This window comes from Homo sapiens, chromosome 11, assembly GCF_000001405.40.
Source record: "Homo sapiens chromosome 11, GRCh38.p14 Primary Assembly".
Taxonomy (NCBI): Eukaryota; Metazoa; Chordata; class Mammalia; order Primates; family Hominidae; genus Homo; species Homo sapiens.
Window position 1 is genome coordinate 11,349,266 of NC_000011.10, and position 21,011 is coordinate 11,370,276.

Below are 21,011 nucleotides of genomic sequence, written 5' to 3' on the forward strand. Positions count from 1 at the left end.
GTGTCTCCTGGTGCACGAGAGTGGGCAGGCCTCCATGTATTTATCTCACTGAAATTTCTGGAGCATAGGTTATATACACATGTTCAACTTTCCTAGGAAAAGTGACACTGTTCCAAATAATGTGGATCACATTATACTCCCACCAGCATGGATGAGGCTCATATTGCTTCCTATCCTTGCCAACATTTGACATTGTCCAACTTTAAAATTTTTGCCAATCTGATGGGCAAGAAATTCTCCCTCACCGCAGTTTTAATTTGCAACCTCCCCTGATTACTAGTGAGAGAGAGGTTTTTTGTTGTTTATGTGCCCACAATACCGAACTCTGAGAGAAGGCTCATGTCAACTTTGTCCTCACCAAGACACTAAACAGGGCTGGCACATGAGCGGTGCTCAAAAAAATATAAATTGCACGAATGAAGGAACCAGAGCTAGGCTTTAGTTCTGCGTTATCCTCAGTGCACTTTACTTGGTGTTCTCCCAGGTTTCCTGGGGTACATATTTAGTTATTTTAATGTATTTTAGTGTAAGAGAACATTTAAAAAATCTGACAATGCTTATTCCTTTCATCAGAGCCTGCAGAAAAACACTCCCTGAGGATATGGTTTCCCAAGCCCTCTTCTTGCAATCAACACTTCCGAAGAGTCCTCTGTGTGGAATTGCTGCTTGGAAAAAAAAATGATGCTTTTTCTTGGAAGGTGTCCCTGAAGGGGTCTGAACATTTGGGTTAGCCCTAACAAACAGTTGAAGCAGTTCCTCTGTTTGAAAGGGATCCCTCATAACTATCAGAGGCAGCAGGATTCATTGGGCAGAATTCCAAGGAGAGACAAGCTGGGCTGGAATGTCTGGAAGCTTTCCATGAAGAAAAACTTAAAAGGCTGTTTTGCAGGAATCTGGGATTTGCTGAAACAGCTGCTTACCCACAGGAAACCCAGGGTCAAGTTAGAGGGGCAACAGTAATGTGTCATTCTCAGCAAACTGGCCCATCCCATACAGGGGGCCTGGCTTTTCCTTGGACCCAGTGCTCTGCCTATAATGACTGGGCCACAGGAGTTCAGGGAAGGACATTCCAGGAGGACTGCTTTGCAAATGTGTGGTCATTGAGACTAGAAGTTATCTTTAATGGTTCTGACCAAGAAGGGCTTATTCGTGGTTACCTCAAATCTCATATCAGCCAACAGGCCTGATTACTATTGTTCAAACTCAGGCCAGATGGGACTCAAGACAAGTTGGAAAAAGGAAGACGTCAGGCTCTGACATACAGGGGTTGGGAAACTGAGCCAGGAGTAGAGTGGTCTCCAAAGGTGTGGCAGAGACCCCTATTGCTCACTGACACCTGGGTGCTCCTCCATATTTCCCTGCACCCCTTGCAGTCAGGAGGGTGCAAATCGATGAGATGAGAGAGGACATGGCCTCTGCCACTTCCCGGGGAAGGCAGGTGACTATCCAGTGTGTCTCCTTAGGTGCACTTCTACTCCCCACCCCACCATCTGCTGGATGTTTAAGCCAGGGTGAACTTGAAGTTCAAAGATGCTGAACCCACAAGAGAAGCAATCAGAGTCCCCAAGTCACTACTTGGAGAAAAGCTGCACAGGAGAGCCTCCCAGCCAGCCTTCAGGGGACTGTGTGAGCAAAATAGGACATTTCCTGGGTAACCTCTATTTCCAGCAGTTCTGAGAGCTGCTGTTTCAGTCTGTGATGCTGCCAGTATGTAAAGAGGCAAGGTGACCAAAGAGGCATGGTCCCTGCAGGCACCAGTTTCCAGAGGTTCAATCTATTGTGTGGGGCTCATATGAGAAAGCTCCAGGTATAGGGACAGATGGAGTGTCTGGAAGGTGACCGCTTCCCAATTCCAGCTGATGAGTTCATTCAAAGCAGTACCCCACTAGAGGCTGAGGATGCAGGGAGCAGATCTAGCCCCAAGGGGTGAGAGAGGGAGCTGCAAGGGGCAGGCAGGACATTTGGACTCCTGCACATCGGGCTGCTGTGAGAGTTTGGTTCAAACTCAGAACCAGAGCAGAGGGCAGGAAACCAAGGGTGAAGCTAGCCAGGGTGGTAGAGGAAAGGTCCAGGTTTGAAGATGACATACAGCTCCAGGTTCCTTGGAAAGCCACAGACAGAAGCCCTGTGGCAACTCCACTTACGCAAGAGGGAGCCAGCTGGTGAGGCCAGGGCTGCAGCCAGACTCTTCCAACCCTTGTAAGGGGACACAAAATCTAGAAGGATCTGACCCTCACAGCTTCCCGATGCACAAGGCTGGGAAGGTAAGCTAGTTCAAGTCCAGGCATATCTATGGAACCAAAACCCTATAGAAGCCCCAAACTCAGAGACAGAAGTATTAGCAAGTTCCAAATCAGGGTCCCATTGACACCTGCGCTATCTACTGTAATCACTTCTTTGTTTTGAAATAGGATCTCTGGCCCCCATTACTGTCACTGGTGCTGCCAGAGAATGACAATGAGCTTAAATGTCATAGGGATTTGGGGAGCAATTTTCTTTTTTTTTTTTTTCAGCCTATTATAATTTTTTTTTATGACTGAACTACTATAAATCCACAAGCAACGGTTCAGACACGTTGCTTCTGAAGTGTTTCACCCCTCCCCGCCAGGCGCAAGCTGCATCAAGGAGGGGGTGGACTCCCCCACCTCTGCTCAGGCATCAGGAGACAGATAGGGCCGTTACTGCTGAGCGCCAGTGGCAGCTGGAACAGGCATCCCAAGGGGGTTGGCAGCAGCAATCACTGGTGAGCCTGCCAGAGGTCCAAGGGGTGAAGGAGTTGGCACTGAAGAAATCCCTGACATCACATTGGCGCTGCTGACGGGCGTACTGCCCCCTGGCATGCTAGATGAACCCATTCGAGCCTGGTCCTTCACAACAGTGTAGAAATAGGGGTGCTCCATGGCCTCTCTTGCAGTAAGCCGTGACTGGTGGTCATATCGCAGCAGTTTGTCCAGGAAATCCAAGGCCTCAGGGCTGACAAGGTGCTGATTTTCACTGTGGACAAAGCGTTCCCATCGCTTTCGAGAGTGTCTGCCCAAGATATCATTGAAACGTGGATCTAATTCAATGTTGTATTTGTCAATATAGCCATATAAATCTTCTGTCCCCAGAAACTTGGCTATCCTCACCAACTGATCATAATTGTCACGTCCATGGAAAAATGGCTCCTTCCGAAAGATCATACTTGCCAGCATACAACCCAATCTCCACATATCCAAACTATAATCGTACATCTGATAGTCTACAAGTAGCTCAGGACCTTTGAAGTATCGGGAAGCAACTCGGACATTATATTCTTGGCCAGGATGATAAAACTCAGCCAAACCCCAGTCTATTAGTCGTAGCTTTCTGTGCTCATGATCAATCATGACATTATGGGGCTTGACATCTCTGTGCATAATTCCCATGCTGTGACAATAATCCAGGGCCTTCAGAATCTCATACATGTAAAATCGAATATCATAGTCTGTTAACGTCTGGTACAATTGCTTGAAGTCTGTGTTGTTTACGTGTTCAAAAACCAAGGCGGGGGTTCGTGACACAGGGTCTTTTACAATGTCTGCCAGTGTGATGATGTTGGGACCTCCTCTCAAATTCTCCAAAATCTTTATTTCACGCTTAATTTTCTTCTTTTTTACTGGCTTGAGAATTTTAACAACAACTTTTTCATTATTTGTGATGTTGATGGCTTCAAATACTTCACTGTATTTACCTCGGCCTAATTTTCGAACCAGCTGGTAGTCATCTTGATTTCCCCATTCCACCACATGTGACTCGTAATCCCAGTATTCTCGAGGTCTGTGTGTATTAACATCTGTGTAAACTCTGGCCCTGCTTGGCACGGGTCCCGACATGTCAGACAGGTTGGCGGACAAAGCTGGACTTGATGTTTGGAGATCTGGCAGTCACTGTGTTCAGAAGCAGCTTGGGGGTAAGACCTTGTTTCAGACCTGTTTTCTTCACACTGTGGTGGAAGCGGCAGCGGCTGTGGCCGCTCTCCCTTCTGCTCACACAGACAATATGGCGGCGATGGAGTGGGGAGCAATTTTCTAAAATCCAAATAAAAACCTTCCCATCTCTAATCTGAGAGTCATTTTTATCAGCTAACTGGGCTCATCTATTTACTCAGCATATTCAGAGCCCTTTTTGGGGGTTAAGTCCCTTTCAATTGCTGTGAGGCACCGTCTCCTTGTGGACATGCTTGTGCTATCCAGCTGCTATTCAAAGCACATCTCCTGGACCATGTTTAATTTATACTTTCCTATATGAAGATGAACCACTTACTCACTTAAAGTATTTCTTTTTTTATGTCTCTAATCAGTGGCTGTTTCTTTCCTCTCTCTGAAGCTTAATCGAATCAGAAACAAATCCCACACATATGAATGGCTCATTAGCATGTCCCAGTCAGATTCAAATTGGCCGTCCATACCAGATGCCCCCAAAAGGATAACACTGGCCCAAAGAAGGACTCTTTAAACGAGTGTCCAAAGGGTGTTGCCATGATAAGCCAGGAGGGTTCTTTCTGAAATCCAGGGTAGATACACTCTGTCATTCCCAGCACCATAGAGCCAACTGATGGCAGGTAATGGATGTGTCATTGAGATGGGGTTGGTGGGAGGCAATGTGGCCAAGCCTGGGGAGCAGACATCAGAGGAATGTCTGGTGTCTATGTGTCTGGCTCAAGCATCATCCTCACACTTGGCTCAGTGGGGCCCTTTTATCAAATGATACAAATGAGGCTGAGATGCTGAACATTCTCTCGCTCAGAAATGATATTTGTTCTAAAGAGCTTCCCCTCTTAATCAAATGAAACTCAGATTATAAACACTGGTATGCTACATCTTCTCTTAAAGGATTTGCTCTTTTCATAGACATCAGAATGAATCGTCAGCATGGGCATCATCACTGGTGTCATCTCTGAAAGTCACCGATAGCAAACTCTCATTTAATACAGATTTACAAAAGAGATCAGCATACTGCAATAGAGTAGAACTGAAGGGAACCTAACCAGGACCTCCCTTCATTTCCCAGGTGAGCAAACTAAGGTTCAGGGTCACAGGATAATTTAGAAGCACAGTAAGATATGGATCCAAGAGCCTGCCTTTTGGAAGACAGGAAGTCATTATGGTTCAGAGCATAGCCTCTGGGGCCAAACAGTCTTGGTGTCAAGTCCTACATTTCCCATTTGCTGAACTGGTGACTTTAGGCAATTCACTTCACCTTCCAACACTCAGTTTCCTTGTCTATGAAATGGAGATAAAAGTGATAAATTCCAAAGATAGTTGCTGTGAGAATTAAATGAAGTAATACACAGAGACAGTTTATTTCATCACCTGGAAGAAGTTTAGAGGCCCCTAAGTATCAGCTATAATTATTATCACTATAATATTCCACTGATGATAAGATTCACTATTGCTATACCACAGCTTTTCGGGACAGGGGAAAACACACTACATTCCTCTGAGCTCAAGATTTATATACCCAAGTGCCTACGTCTCACCTTCACTCTCATGTGTCTCAGGCATCTCAACCTTACCATGTCCAAAACGAAGTTCCCGATTTTCTTCCCTGCCTCCCCATCTGTCCCTTAGTCTGCCCCTCATCCATCTAATAGCCGAAGCCTGTAACCTGTAATTCATCTGTAGCAATGTCTTCTTCCTCCCTCTCCACATCCAATACATCGGCAAAAGCAGACAGTTCTACCTCCTAAATATAGCTTGAATTTAATCACTTCTCTCCATCTGCACAGCCAACATCCTGGTCCAAGTCCCTATTATTTTTGTGTGGGCATCTCCATCCAGAGCCTCTTCCCTGGTCTTTCTGCGTTGTCGTGTTGCCCTTCAATCCGTATTGCCCTCCAATCCACTTTTTAAAATTATACATCAGAGCATGTCCCTCCTCTGCTTTAATGCAGTTCAGCAATTATTTACTGAGCACTTACTATGTGCCAGTCTTTGTTGTAGGAGATGGGAATCTTACCACAGAACAAAATATAAAAAATCCCTGACTTTCTGATACTTACACTGTGTTTTTTCTGTTACAGCACTCCCTATGGACTGAATTGTCTCCCCCTTCCTCAAATTCATATGCTGAGGCTGTAACTCCCCATGTGACTATATTGGAGATGGGGCATTTAAGGAGGTGATTAAACATGCACAAAAAATTCTCAGTAGAATGACCATATGTTCTGGTTTGCTGGGGACTATTCTGGTTTATACCTAGTGTTCCACTGTTATTAGTAGCACCCCCTTTCACTCGCAAAAGCTTCTAGTTTGGACAGTAAATTAAAATTTATTTACATATTTATTATTTATTTATATATGCCAAATGTATAAGGTCCAACCTGATTTTAGAAACACTGAAATCCCAAATAAGTATCTGTCTTAAAATCATGGTCTTACTAATCTTTTCCCTCCCCTAGTCCATGATTTCTCTATATTACTACAATCCTAGTGTGGTGAAAATTAAGCAAGTCATCAAGACCCTCACCTCCTGATGTGCAGCATTTGAAGCAGGCCTGAGGAATAAAACAGAGCACCCCACCATTCAGTGCTCCAGAGACCAGAGCCCTGTCTCTTGAACTTTCCCAAACTAGACAGACAGAAAGAGAGAGAGGCAAGACCTAAAGGAGTGAATGGTGTTCCTGGGCCATTTACACCAGGGGTTAACTCTTTATTTTCAGGACTGACTTTGTATACAGGTAGGCTTTGTTTTATAGAAAAACTTGTGTGCAGGGGTAATTTCTGGATACCAAACTTTATAGAAAAACTTGTGTGTAAGGGTAATTTCTGGATACCAGCACCTACAGCACTAGAAAAAAATGTGCTCACAGGTACCCTGCCCTTTGCATTGCTTTACAAAGCCAAGAACATTTGTATTTGGAGATGCCCCTGACCCCTCCTTCTGCAACTTCAGATTTATGAATATCGGATCTTGTCCAAGGAAAACCACAGCAGTGTCAGAGGAGGAGGAGAAGGAACCCTTGCTCAGTTTGTGGCAGTTCTTCTGAGGAAATGATTCTGGCCTTGCTTGGTGGTCTCTTCCAGGAAAACTAGAATAACAATGTAATGGTGGCCAAGAAGCTACCTTCCAGGGTCTGATACCGACCAGCATGCAGACTCAGCTAAAGAAGAACAAAGAACAAAAATGGAAACAAAAGGGAGACAGAAAATGACTCTGGGGAGCTTTAACATACATTGTGAGCTTCCAGGTTTCTTTGGCTTTTGTTTTTGCTTTTTTCCAAAATTCAGGAAATTAAACATTGATACATGACTATTATCAAATCCCCAGTCTATAATCAAAGTTCACCAATTGTCCCAATCAAAGCCTTTATAGCTATTTTTCCCCTTCATCCAAACTTTTTAAGAAGGTAAAAATTTCCTTCAGGTTGACTCCCCAAATCCTTCATCAATTGTTACCTCGTTTGTGCATGTTATTAATCTCTCTTTTATACAGCTCCCTCATTGAATGCAATTGAAAAAACCAAAGTGTGAAGACCATTCCTGAGTAAAATTGTTCTTGGGCACTCTCCTTCTGCTCCCCACCATTTCTAGCTAATCACTTCATTATGTACTTTTTAAATTGCTTTGTTCTGTAGGGATTAATTTTGCACTTATCTTCACTAACCATAAAACTTTTACAACGTACTTTTAAACTGCGTCTACTCAGCTGCTGGTTTGTAATTGCAAAGAGTCACTCCACGGCTGGCTGGTGTGCTAGGGGATAACACGCAATAGCCACGGAGCTTCCTGCTCCATGTTTTCAGATGCCTTCCTGGAGCCGCTGGGTATGGGGCAGACCAATTGGTTCTAGACTGGCTGCTTGGGGTACCGAAATGTCCTTGTATATGGAAATCACCAGCTAGGGAACACCCTCAAATCGCAGATGCTTTGGCCTCAGAGGCCTCAGGTTGCTCCGACCTCAAAGACCTTGGGAATTTCAGGCCCTACAGTTCCCAGGAGAAGGTCTGTCTACAGCTGACCACCTAGAAGGCAACAAAATTTCAACTACTCTCTCAAGGTCAAGTCTGTACTTTCTCAAGGCTCAGGCACTTGCCCTCTGCCTGCAAGCAGGCACTAGATTCCCAGTCTTCAAGGAGTCCCTCTGCCTCCCTTTCTGGTCAAATACAATCTCCAAGGAGTCCCTCTGCCTCCCTTTCTGGTCAAATACAATCTCTAAACTCTCCGCCTTCCATCAATCTCCACCCACTCCCTCCTTAGACCTTTGAAATCTGTCTTCTATCACTTCCCCTTGACTCCAACTATTCCCCCCAAAGCCTTCTTATGGCTGTGTCTAATGCCTTTTCTCCACTTGCTTTCTCAGAGCACAGGCTGTTGGTTCACAGGCTTTGGACAGAACTGTGTTTAAATCCAGGCTCCTCCACTTTTTCTCTTGGGACCAGGGCAAGTTCCTTAACTTCTCTGAGCCTCAGTGGCCTCATCTGTAAACCGGTGACAGTAATTCTGGTTTCCTGTGATTCTTGGGAGGGGTAAATGACATACAGCATAAAACTCACTAGAATATAAGTTCTATGAGGGCAAACCTAAGTTATCTCATTCATCACTGCATATCCAGTGCTTGGCCCAGCATCTAGAATGGTAGGTGCTTTATAAATATTTATTGAATAAATGCACTAAATACAAAATAAATGTTCAACAAATGGTAGCTATTATCATTAGTATTCATGTTTGCCTGCCTGTTTGAGTTCTGAAATGCTGCCTTTCCCTAACATCTGTGATTTTCCACCAATACAGCTCCTATCTTTCTGGCTGATTCTTCTCTGAGACTGTGGGATCACACTGTCCCTGCCTCCATCTCCTATGCCCATGTCCAATTTTAAAATCTCTTCTGTTTTCAGAAATGGTCACATAGAGGGCACCTGATCCCATTGTCTTACCTCAAAGTTTTTTCTTTCTTTTTACCTTAGTTTTATAGTTTTGGCTTTCTGTTGAATCCAGGTATTATATTTCTCTCTATCTTAACACCAACTACATGTTACAAGGAATATAATACATCTTCACTGTATGAATGAATAGACAGATGAATAATGCAAGCTTTTTGGTTATTTCCACTGTTATTTCTAATGCCAAACTTGCCACATTTTCCCCCTCAAACTATCTCAAATTCTTCTCTAGCCAATGGCACCCTGAAACCTTCCATCATCTGAGTTTGAAATATCAATGCCATCTTTGTTGGACATTTAATAACTCATTTATAAGAACTAGGAAAGACTAAGTCTTGACTTCTAATAATCATTGAAATTATTAAAATCCAAAACAATTCTAAGGGAACAGATGGACAATGACTCAGCTAAGGCTTTGGGTCATTGGGAAAATTCCCTTTGGAAGCACAAAGGCCTGCAAGCTTGAAATCTGTTTGGTGTCTTTTGAAATTCTTGGTCTCAGAAGACCACATAGAAAAACACTTACACCACCATACAACTGTCAGCCTTCTCTAGGTGTTACCCCACCACAGCAGCTGAAGGATAATGCTAAAGGGATTCCAATTCATGACACAATGATACAAAACAGTGGCAAAGCTAACAGCCCCAATCCACACAAAACACACACACACACACACACACACACACACACACACGCACAGACATGTTATCCCAAGCTCTCGGGTTATTCTGAACTCCAGCTGGCTTGAGCCAACCATAACATTTAGAAGCAACTAGAAACTACAATCCAATTTAAGGTGTTTAATTTTCTCTGTGTCCAGGGATGGGAAATAAAAGAATCTGCTTGCAGCTTTTCTGTGAGATGTTGCATCTGGTGGTTTTCTGAGACCTTTTCAGCAGAGGAAAAATGCTGGTCCCCAGACCCCCTTCTCCTCACATCTCTCTAACTGTGTGGGCAAAGACGAGGTTGCTTTACCCAAAACTGTGGTGTCCAATGTTTTTAATTAATTTCCTTATGGCTAGCTGAGAACGGCCATGATACTAACAGTGAGCTGAGATTACTCAGACCTCTAGGTCCAAGGCCTTTGGGGAGAACCACATACCCAGTCTATCATGTGCTTCAATAACACACATTAACCTGTACACATTAACCTGCCTGGACTGCCTTCACTGGTAATTTTAGCAAAGTTTCCAGCCCTTTAACCGTGGATACATATTTTTTAAAGTCTCAAATAGCAGTGATGCCTGTTCTAGGCAATTGCTAGGGACCCTTCCTTGCTTTCTCTTCCTCCTCTTTGTCTCTGCTCCCCTGAGCCCAGATTTCTGACTTCCTCTCTTTTCTGGCTCCTCTCATTTAGTAATCCCCCATCTGTCTCCTTCCTGACTCTGTGGACTCTGGCTCAGCCCTCCACTGTTACCCCTCCAGTTCTGAAGTCTCCTGCCATGTCCAGTGAGGACATTGTGTAGTATCATCTGATTTAGGCCCCAGCACTCCTGAGAGATGTGGCTGAATCACTGAGCACTGAAATGGTACGGTGGTCATTTTCCAAAGCAATGCTGGCTGGAGTTAACCCTTGAAATTAACCTTTATCCATCAGTGATTTTAAACCCCGAAGGTAGAGATGGAAAAACAACACAACCTAGTGATTAAGGCATTCATTTTAAAACCAGTCAGGCTGGTTCTAATCTTGAGTGGTCCTGGGTAAGGAGGGAGTTATTTATTCTAATTTCCTCCAGGTTTCTAATTTACAAAATGGGGATAACAGCATGGACCTCACAGGGATCGTACAACAATTAATAATACACACAAGTGATTGCCAAATAGCATACAATAAATGGAAGTTCCTTTTGGATGAAATTCTTGGCCTCAGAAGACCACCTAGATAAACATATATATTAAGACCACATAAACACTTACTCCACCGTACAACAATGGGTCTGCTTTATGGAATAAAGCACCTGCTTCTGTTGCCCAAGAGTGTACATCATTACACCAAATCTCAGACGTCCCAGACCTTGACAGGTCAATGTTGACAGGTCAAATCCCCATCTTCAGGATGCTCACTCCTTCCTCAGGAGTCTGCCTCAACGGCACCTCCTGTGTGAAGCCCCACCTAACTTCCGCAGGTGGAGTGGTTGCTCCCTTCTGCTGCTCTCGCAATGCATCAGGATCTTTCAGCCTTGCGTTTTGACCCTGAGCAGGTTGTGCCGTTTAGCACATTAACCTGAATTATGCTCAGTGATGAATTTTCACTCAGAAACTCTTTTTTGAGTAAATGTCACTAAGCCAATTTGATTCTCTTCATCGATTTTCTATAGACCAAATTAAAATATTTCCGTCTATACTAATTTTCTAGTTTTATTTTAGCAGAATTATTTTCACTGGGGTTAACACTTTTTTGCATTGATTTTACAACTAAGATAGGGTTCTTCTATCAGTATGCTTTTATCCATAACACATTTTATAATTATGGCCTCCATCACAGGGTTTTTCTTGGTGGTAATGATTTCCACCAAGTTTAGTTTTCCTGAATCAAATTTTGCAAATGTAAATCATGTTAATATTCATTTCTTCAGGAAACTTTTTAGCTTTTATAGTTTTTGCTATGCTCATTTTTATTTGTTGCTTTAGCTTGAGTTGATTGTCTTTACCATTACTCATTGATTGGAGAAAAAAAAGTAATTGTTTGCATTTTTTGATTTGTAAATAACAATTTCTAAAAAAATACCACATAAAAGGTGTAGCAGGTTGAGTTGTGTACTTGTTACTGTTGCCATTGGTAGATCAAAGAACACAGAAAGTCCTCAAAGTCAAAATGGAGGGAGGGGTCAAACATTCTGTTTAAGCTCATGACTTTTTCTACAATCTGAGATGAGTACTCAGAACATGGTAAGGTGGTTGTCTCTCCAGCTAGGCTGAGAGCCACTCAAAGGCAGGGGCTGTCATTCATCTCCAATTTCCCAGCAGGGGGAAAGTGAATGTTTGAAGGATGAATGAATGAATAAATAATGAACCCACCTGGAAGTGATGAGAAATTTTGTCAGATTTCTTACTGAAGACCACAACGCTATGCCTTCTTAGACCAGGCATAAATGGCTTCTGAAGCCACCTTTCTTGGGTTCAAATCGCATCTTTACCACTTACCAGTCATGTAACCTTGAGCAAGTTATATCACCTCTCTCTGTGCTTCAGTATATCCATCTGTAAGTGGAGATAGTAGTAGTACCTACATTTCAAGGTACTGCAAGGATTAAGTGAATTAATACATGTAAAGCACTTAGGACAGTATCTCACATATAATACCTGTCATATTACTATTAATCATTAGTATTACAGTCATAAAGTTTATCTATCTTTCTATCTATCTTTCTAGTGATATTTGAAGATGTCCTAACACAGGGAGCTCACTGTATCATTAGCATCTTTTTTATGGTTCTAATTTATGTTTCTGATATTGAGTAACTACATCTCTTACAGCTTATACTCACTGTTTATAGCTCTGACTTTCTGAGGCATACAGAATATATTTTCTTATATGTGACTGGTCTGTAAATTCAAAGCCTGCTCTTTCAGCACATACTAGGCTCCAAGCACATTATGAAAATTAAACAGCCATAAATCCTGACATCACGTGTTTTAAAGTCCAGCACGAAAGAAGAGGGAAAGATGATACTTGTGTCTTGCCTAGATCTTCCCCTCCTTTGAATCCAAGACCTTTATGCATTAGTTTGCTAGGCTAAATTCACCCTGTGGACTTACAAACATAAAGCCTATAAAAATGAAATTGTGTGATATTAGTACATAAATAGACCAACAGATCAATGAAACCAAAATAGAAAATCCAGAAACAGACCCAAAAGTATGTGGCAATTTATTGTACAATAAAGGTAGTTTTGCAAAACAGTGAGGAAAGATATTATTTTGAATAGAAGGTGTTACGATAACTGGTTGACCATATAGAAAAATAAGACATTGGATCCATTCCTCACACCAAACTGCAGGATCAATTCTGAATGAATCGGAGACTAAAATGTAAAAAATATAGTCATGTAAGTATTAGAAGAAAACATAAGTGAATTTCTTTATAACCTGAGAGTGGGTAAGATTTTCTATGATTAAAATCTGGAAGCAAGAAGAAAAAAAGTTTGCTTACATTAAACAGAAAAAACACGAAAAAAGCAGCCTTTGGATGGCAAAACAAACAAACAAACAAACACGAGAAGTAAAATCAAGACAAGTAATAAACTGGGAGAAAATACTTGCAATTTGTATGATGGGCAAAGTATTACCATCTCTAATGTGTAAAGATATTCTAAAAATAGAGAGAAGACTAACAACCCTATAGGAAAGTGGGCCAAAGATACGAACAGCTTACAGAAAAAAGAAATGCAAATAGCCTTAATCATATGAAAATCTCTTCAACCTAGTTCTTAATAAGAGAAATGCAAATTAAAACTACCCTGAAAGGCCTTTCTCATCGGTCAGATTGGTTAAAAAAAATATTCCACAACATACTTTGTTGGTATGGCTGTGAGAAGACAGGCACCTTCATCATTCCTGGTGGGAAAAATATTACCCCTCTGAAATACTACCCCTCTGGAGGGATATTTGATGATGTCTAGCAAAGTTACGTATGCATTTACCCTTTGACTTCGCAATTCCATTTCTAGGAATCTATCCAAAAGATAACCAATAAAAATATGAAAAAAGTATGCAAAAGACTATTAATTATAGCACTATGCTCTCAAAAGGAAATTGGTAGAACAAACTATAAAATGTTTACGCATTTGAGTAGTATGCAACCGTAAGAAAGGAATGAGGAATATCTCTATATACTGTTATAGAACAATCTTCAGAAAAAAGTGAGATAATAAAAATGTGCATAGTATACTACCATTTATCTAAGAAAGGGGACCTGCGAATATATATTCACATTTTCTTGCCTTTTTTCAAAGTATTAAGTAAAACAAACAAAAATAAATGTTTACATTGGAAATAGAAAACAGGATGAAGAGAACAACGCTGAAAGTTCCTTATTTTGTAGATTTGACTTTGGACTGTATATTTACCTCATTTTTATAAACTAAATAAAAATTTATATGACTATAAACATTTAAATATAAAAGTCAGAAGCAAAATGAAACAACTGATCATACTTCTTAGGTTGGTAGGACAACCGTACAGAGAGGAACACTTCTAGATAAGTGTGGATAATAGGAATTTGACTGTACATCCTAGTGGGATAAAATCTAAAGAAGAAATGCAAAATAAATTAAACCATTTATCATATCATTGGTGGTAGCATTGTCATTAATATGCTGAAACAGTCTTGAGCATTCTGGGGAATAAAATAAACAGGTACCTATGTTGTTGTCATTAAGAACCAGAAATTTTGTCATGAAAGAAAGGAAATATGGATGTAAAATTGATGAAGTAAAATTCTGTTGTCCTAAGTTTGAATGAGAAAGATCATCATGAATGCCTGAAATATTTTAGCTCTATAATAATAATAACAATAATAATTTCTAGCTCTGACTACTGAAAAGACCTAGAAACATGGACCAACCCAGTAGCAATGAGCATGCCCAGTGCCCAGATTGTGGTTTTAAATACCATTTCTCACTCACAGTAAGCTGGGTTCCTTAGGGAAGTAGCTAATTACAAGTCTGGAGCAGGAAATGTGTAAGATGAGCCTGGAACCCTCCTCATGGCAGGGAAGCCATTAAAGAGTCAAAAGGACCCATGGACAAATGTCAACAGGCTCCCAATGGACAAAGGTGGAAAATTTACAAGTCAATAAGGATATTAAATGTATGTAAGGATAATTAATTGAAATACATCAAATATGTTTAAACCCATAAGTTCACAGGGATAGTAAAAAACTAATTGGTCCCCTTTGGAGGGTGGTTGAGAATCAATTCATTATTTTGAAAGCTATTATAGAAAGAACTATTTATCCTGACTTTTCCAAATGAATTTATTTGTACTTCTGGGCAACCAAGGAATGGATTATTGTAAATGTCTCTACAAGAAGTATTTCAGTTAATAAATGAGGAAAGAGAAATAAAATTAAAATATTACTATTTGGTAACCCCTAAGGAATTACTGAATCTAGGCAATAATCAGCAATGATGGTTAGCATCACAAATGGGAACACAAGTAGACATCGTGTACCTCATGATGGAGGAACACACATACTGTCTATGAAATATTCTTGCTACAAAATTAAGCCTAAGTCTCTAGATTTAACTACCAATTTAGATGAAATGTATGGGACAGAAGGACCTGTTAAATGACATCAGGGGAATGTAATCAAGAAAATCTAGACTGTGAGAATCTCTGCAGGAAAAATGACCTGATCTCTTCAAAAACGAAATTACAAGAGGGGGGGAAAAAGAGATGGAGAAAGATATTCAGTAGATTATGGAGACTGGAAAGACAAATTAACCAACTGAATCTTGATTCAAGCAAAGAAATTGTATATCAAAACAAAAACTTATGAGAGAATTAGAAAAATGTGTATACTAGAATATTTGACAGTATTACAGTATTCTTTTCAACTCTTTTAGGACTGAAAATAGCATTGTGGCCATGGTTCTTTAAAAGTCCTTATCTATTTTGGATACATACTGAAATATTTTTGATGAAATGATATGATGTCTGGGATTTCCCTCAAAATAACTAGAGTTAGGTGGGGGATTAGGCAGAGGTAAAGATGAAACCAAATTGGCCATAAGTTGACAATACTGAAACAAGGTAACAACTGCAACGGGATTTATTTTACTATCTCACTGTTTTTGTATATATTCGATATTGTCCATAATAAAGAGTTTTTTCTCTTTTTTCCTTAATTTTTTTTTCATTATTTCTTCTAAAAATGGGATACGAGTGCAGAACATGCAGGTTTGTTCCATAGGTATACATGTGCCATGGTGGTTTGCTGCACCTATGGACCCATCCTTTAAGTTCCCTTCCCTCAACCCCCAACCCCCTACAGGCCTTCATGTGTGTTGTTCCCTTCTCTGTGTCCATGTGTTCTCAGTGTTCAACTTCCACTTATGGGTGAGAACATGTGGTGTTTGGTTTTCTGTTCCTGTGTTAGTTTGCTGAGGATGATGGCTTCCAGCTTCATCCATGTCCCCACAAAGGACGGGTTCTCATTCCTTTTTATGGCTGCATAGTATTCCATGGTGTATATGTACCACATTTTCTTTATCCAGGCTATCATTGACAGGCATTTGGGTTGGTTCCATGTCTTTGTTATTGTAAATAGTGCTGCAATAAACATACATGTACATGAGTCTTTATAGTAGAAAGATTTATATTCCTTTGGGTATATGCTCAGTAATGGGGTTGCTGGATCAAATGGTGTTTCTGGTTGTAAACCCTCAAGGAATCACCATACTGTCTTCCACAATGGTTGAACTAATTTACATTCCCAGTGTATAAGCATTCCTATTTCTCCACAGCCTCACAAGCATCTATTGTTTCCTGACTTTTTAATAATCACCATTCTGACTGGTGTGAGATGGTATCTCATTGTGGTTTTGATTTGCATTTCAATAGAGAGTTTTTTCAAGTCTCATTTATGATAAAGTATCTGGAATATGAAGAACAATACCTATATAGTATATTACTTGTTTTAGAGGACAGACAAACCCAGGTTCAAACTCCATTTCCCATAAGAGGAACTCTGTCATGTGTAATTCTTGGAACTGTAGAAACTGAAAAGAGCTATATGATCTGTCACTGTCCCCTCGAAGCAAAGGTATGTACATAAACCTAGATTTAGCTAATTGTGTGCTGTCACTCAGGACTTCCAATCTTTGTGAATGTCACCGAAACCCAAGCAACAGTGCCCAGTACCCAGTGGTAGGACCATCTAGTCATGGCAGTAGGGTCAGAGGTATTGTCCCAAATACGCTATTATGACCATGTGGCTCTGGCTGTAGTTTCTGCTGTTTAGCCTCTCTTGGCTTTTGCTTGTTTTCTGAATCAGCTTCTTTGAAAAGCAAATTAATTCTTTGAGATACCCATGTCCTTCCAATAAATTTCTTTTCTCTTTAAGTTAGGTTGAGTCAGTTTTCTTAGCTTGCAACACAGGTTCCTGAGTGTCATTTGAATAAAAAGTTAAGCACGACTATAATACATATAAATTAATGTGTGCCTTAAAAAATAAAGCACTACATAAAATGTGTGGTAGTATTTTTATGTACATATGCATCTACATGTATAATAGATATGATGATATGCTTGTATAGAGAACTGTATGAAGTAATTAATTTCTTCTTGTTATCTTTACTGTTAAAAATAATGATTAGAATAATGAGATAATAAGGCATAAGAATGAATTAACTCCTTGACCAACATAAACATTTTTAATCATATAACATCTATTAGGATAATACTATCTGGCTTGCCTTCAGCATTTGATTGCTGTGAGCAATAAATAGGATAATTGTAGGGAAAGAATTCGAAAATATAGATGAAAGGTACTGCCATTGTTATTTAGCTGATATAGAAGCAGCAGACAAAGCCAGTGTAGGGGGTAAGGGGATTTTTGATATCTAGTGACTTTGTAATTTGTGAAGTATACTCCTTCTATTGTGTCCACACCTTCTTTGCTTCTTTCATCCCTCATGCTCTGTAGAATAGCTATTGGTATTTTGCCAGGGCATGTATAGGTATTAGGTTCTCCATGATTGAGGAAAAAACCTAGGAGAGGGGATGAAAACTGGCAGACTAGGACAACAGAAAGATTTAATGAGTTTAGAATAAAGTCACTGTCCAAGGTACTGAGAAATCTCAGATCCATATTTCTGCTTTAATAAGCTATTCTCTAAGGCTAGCCAGATAAGGAAACCTTAAATGATCCTTGGTGCTCCCAAGGTCCAAAGTGGAGCCAGTCAGCTTCACTTCCTCCTGTCCTAGATGTAACTCAGCTACACAGGGAGAGGGACAGAATCACTCACAGCGAGGGATTCTACTCCCAATCAGATCTTGTGATGAGGCTTAGAAGAAGCAGTTAAAAGGGGCAAGCTGGCACTAGGGAATGAAGAATAACAACAATCATCCAGTCCTAGGAGCAGATAGTAAAAGGTCATCCTGGAGGATGAGATATCTGTGTAAGTGTCATTATAACAGTAGACCATATTCTAAAGAGGCAAATGATTACGAATATCCCAAGATATTCTAAAATGCCAGTAAGAAACCCCAAGTGGGTAAAGCTTAGATATTCAGAGAAGGAGTCAGTGACTTGCAGATATGTTCAAGTGGGTGTCTTTCCAACAGCAAGGCCTTTCTGGGAGACTCTCTTTTCTGTAATACATTTCTAACAGCTCAATCCAGTCAGGAGTGATTCACAGTTGGGGCAAGATGGAGAGGAGAGGGGTCTTTTCTCTGGTTGCCTGCTCTGGACACCACGGTGGGGCACTGGCTGTGGTTGTAGTGGCATTCTTCCTCACCACCCCCTACTTCTTTGGTTTCCATTCCAGAAAGGTGAAGACAGCCAAGATTCATATTAAAGAAGTGAATTGAATTTAAAGCATAATAAATAGGCTAGGCTTTCTAATCAGTTTCTCCATGTCCGTTCCATACAACTGAGAAGTTGCCTATTTCAGTATCAGAAATTTAACAAGTCTTACATTTTCCATAGAAATCTTTGCATACATGTATGTACTTTTTGTCTTATTGAATAAGCATACAGCATACAATGGAGGCCTTTTTTTATGACTTGGGACTGTTACTAAGATCATTAACAACTGTGCCATACTGTGTTGTGCTATAAACCTAGGATCTGCCTGAATGTTTAGCTCTAGAAGAAAGAGATACAAGCTGCTGTGCTGCTGGACACCTGTAACCTATTCCGTAGTCTTTAGGTTCAAATAGTTTTTGAAGGATGTTTTTATTGGGCATACACTTATAGGTTGACAATTATTTTCTCTCAGTGTATTGAAGACATTATATCATAATCTTCTGGGTCCCATTGTTACAGTTGAAAAGTCAGCTGTTATTCTAATTATTATTGACTTAGGTCATCTATCTTTTCTCTTTGACTGCTGTAAGATCTTTTATTTGTCTTTGATATTCTGTAGTTCCTCTATGGTATATCTAAATGGGGATATCTTTATATTTACCTCACTTTGGATGGCATGACTTCTTAAATCTGAGGATTGGTGTCTTTTATCAGTTTGGGAAAATTTTAAGCCATCATTTATTTAAATATGTTTTTTGCCTAACCCTCCATACTGTTTTCTCAGAAAATAGAAATCCTCTCTGGAGAAAGAGGATCATCTCCATTTGGAATTATAAGATACTAAATCCACAATCTCAATTCTACATGTCTTTCAACATTTTTTCACAATTTTTTCTGGGCCCTTTGGGCTGATTTTGAGTGATTTCTTTAGATCTATTTTCCAGTTTCTTAATTTTATTCCTTTAATAATGTTCATGTAGCCGTTCTGCCCATCTGTTGAGCTTTTGTCTTTCTTACATTTTTCATGTTTGAAATTCCATTTTTATCCTACTATGACTGATTATTTTTATAGTGTCTTGCTTCTTATTCATATTTTCAATCTCTTCTTTTTCTAAGTATATAATATAACCTACTTTATATTCCGTGTCTGATGGATTCAACAGCTGGAGACTTTGTGGGTCAGGTTTGCCTGTCCGCTGATTTTGCTGCTGTTTCCTCTTGTTGCTTTCTTTTTCCCTTGTCTGTTTTGTGATGTTTTTAAAACTGTGAATTCATATTCCTTAAAACTCTCCCTGTGGGAATTGTGTGGCCTGGGTTAAAAGGCTCTTTCTCCAGAGAGGATTTCTACTTTATACTGAGAAAACAGGCCTTTGGAGTCCCAGCTTTATGGGAAGTAAGGCAAGCCTTAGGCTTTCTGTTCTCTGTATTCTATGAAGTTGAGAAAACATAAACTTAAGTGTCACCAGATTCTCCATGTAGAATAGCCTCAACCTTTCTCCAGGTTCCAACTTTGGCTTACTTTTTTGGTCCCTGTGTAGGTTTCCCGGGCCTCTTATAACAAAGTATCACAATCTGGATCACCTAAAACAGCATAAATTTATTCTCTCACAGTTCTGGAGGCCAGAAGTCTGAAATCAACATATTGACTGGGCTATGTTCCCTCCCAACCCTCTAGGGAAGGATCCTTCTTTGCCTGTTCCAGCTTTCGATAGCCCCAGGTGTTCCTGAGCTTTTGACATCATAACTCCAATCTCTACCTCCACCTTCTCATGGCTGTCTTTCCTTTACGTCTTCCTGTGACCAAATTCTCCTCTTCTTATAAGGACATCAGTCTCGTTGGATTAGGGCCCACCCTAATCCAGCACAATTTTGTCTTAACTTGATTACATCTGCAAGGACCTCTGGTTTCAAATGAGATCACATTCACAAGAGGTTAGGACATATTGGGGCTGGGGGCACTCAATTCAAACCATAATAGTCTCCAACAATTTCAATCCCTTGCCAGCCCTTAAATGTTTTCTTATGCATTCTAGCACTTTCACAGTTATCATTTATATAATCTTTCTGTTTTCTATTCAGTGTCAGCTCTTATTTCTCACTCATTTCGTTGTGCTTGGCCATAGTAGCTCCTTCCTTTTTCTCATTGTGTTGCCGACTTACAAATCAGAAAAAAAAAAGAGCATGAAATAAGAAGAAGGCTTTAAATAGGGACTCAGTAGACATAATTGTGAATAAAGTAGAAGATAATTACTGCATGGCTGTTGCAATATCTTTTTTGAGACGGTGCTCAAAGTACTTTTATCCCTAGATCACTGTGATATATCTGTCTAGTCCTTGAATCATAAAGATCTGGGGCTGAATCCTTTCTCTACCTCTTACGAGGTACATGACCTTGAGATATATGTAAGCCCCTAATTTCACAGTATCTTATGGAAAAAAAAAACCACTATTACAATAATAGTCTTTTTAGGGTGTTTCGTGGATGGATGACATAAGTGCCAGTAAAACCCATGGCACAAAGCAGGCATTTAGTAATTGCGCAAACAACTTTCTTTCTGTGTTCCAGATAGGTAAGGACTTTGAATAATCTGCCTCTGCTTAAGAGAAGGGTGAAAAGTGATCTTTCATGTTGA

The 21,011-nt window shown here is 40.3% G+C and overlaps 2 protein-coding genes across 6 annotated transcripts in view; both read right to left on the reverse strand.

The window, feature by feature from the left end:
- The window catches only part of GALNT18 (polypeptide N-acetylgalactosaminyltransferase 18), a 351,129-nt gene that overhangs the window by 78,389 nt on the left and 251,729 nt on the right, over positions 1–21,011 (reverse strand). Inside the window, exon 7 of one of the 5 annotated variants that reach the window (XM_011520071.4) lies at positions 2,514–5,243. The exons of 2 other annotated variants lie outside the window; for them this stretch is intronic. In XM_011520071.4, the coding sequence (XP_011518373.1) occupies positions 5,217–5,243 (27 nt within the window). In that variant the 3' untranslated portion in view covers positions 2,514–5,216. Of the gene's footprint in view, positions 1–2,513; positions 5,244–6,635; positions 7,124–12,743; positions 16,179–21,011 lie in introns of those variants that run through there. 2 more of the 5 variants (XM_011520070.4, XM_006718225.4) reach the window with 2 other exon arrangements.
- CSNK2A3 (casein kinase 2 alpha 3) lies at positions 2,677–3,985 on the reverse strand. Its single transcript, NM_001256686.2, has one exon. The coding sequence runs from the start codon at positions 3,852–3,854 to the stop codon at positions 2,679–2,681; it is 1,176 nt and encodes a 391-aa protein (NP_001243615.1). The 5' UTR covers positions 3,855–3,985; the 3' UTR covers positions 2,677–2,678.

Coding starts and splice junctions, on each gene's coding strand:
- CSNK2A3 (NM_001256686.2), bottom strand. CDS start 3,854: ATGTCGGGACCCGTGCCAAGCAGGGCCAGAGTTTACACAGATGTTAAT.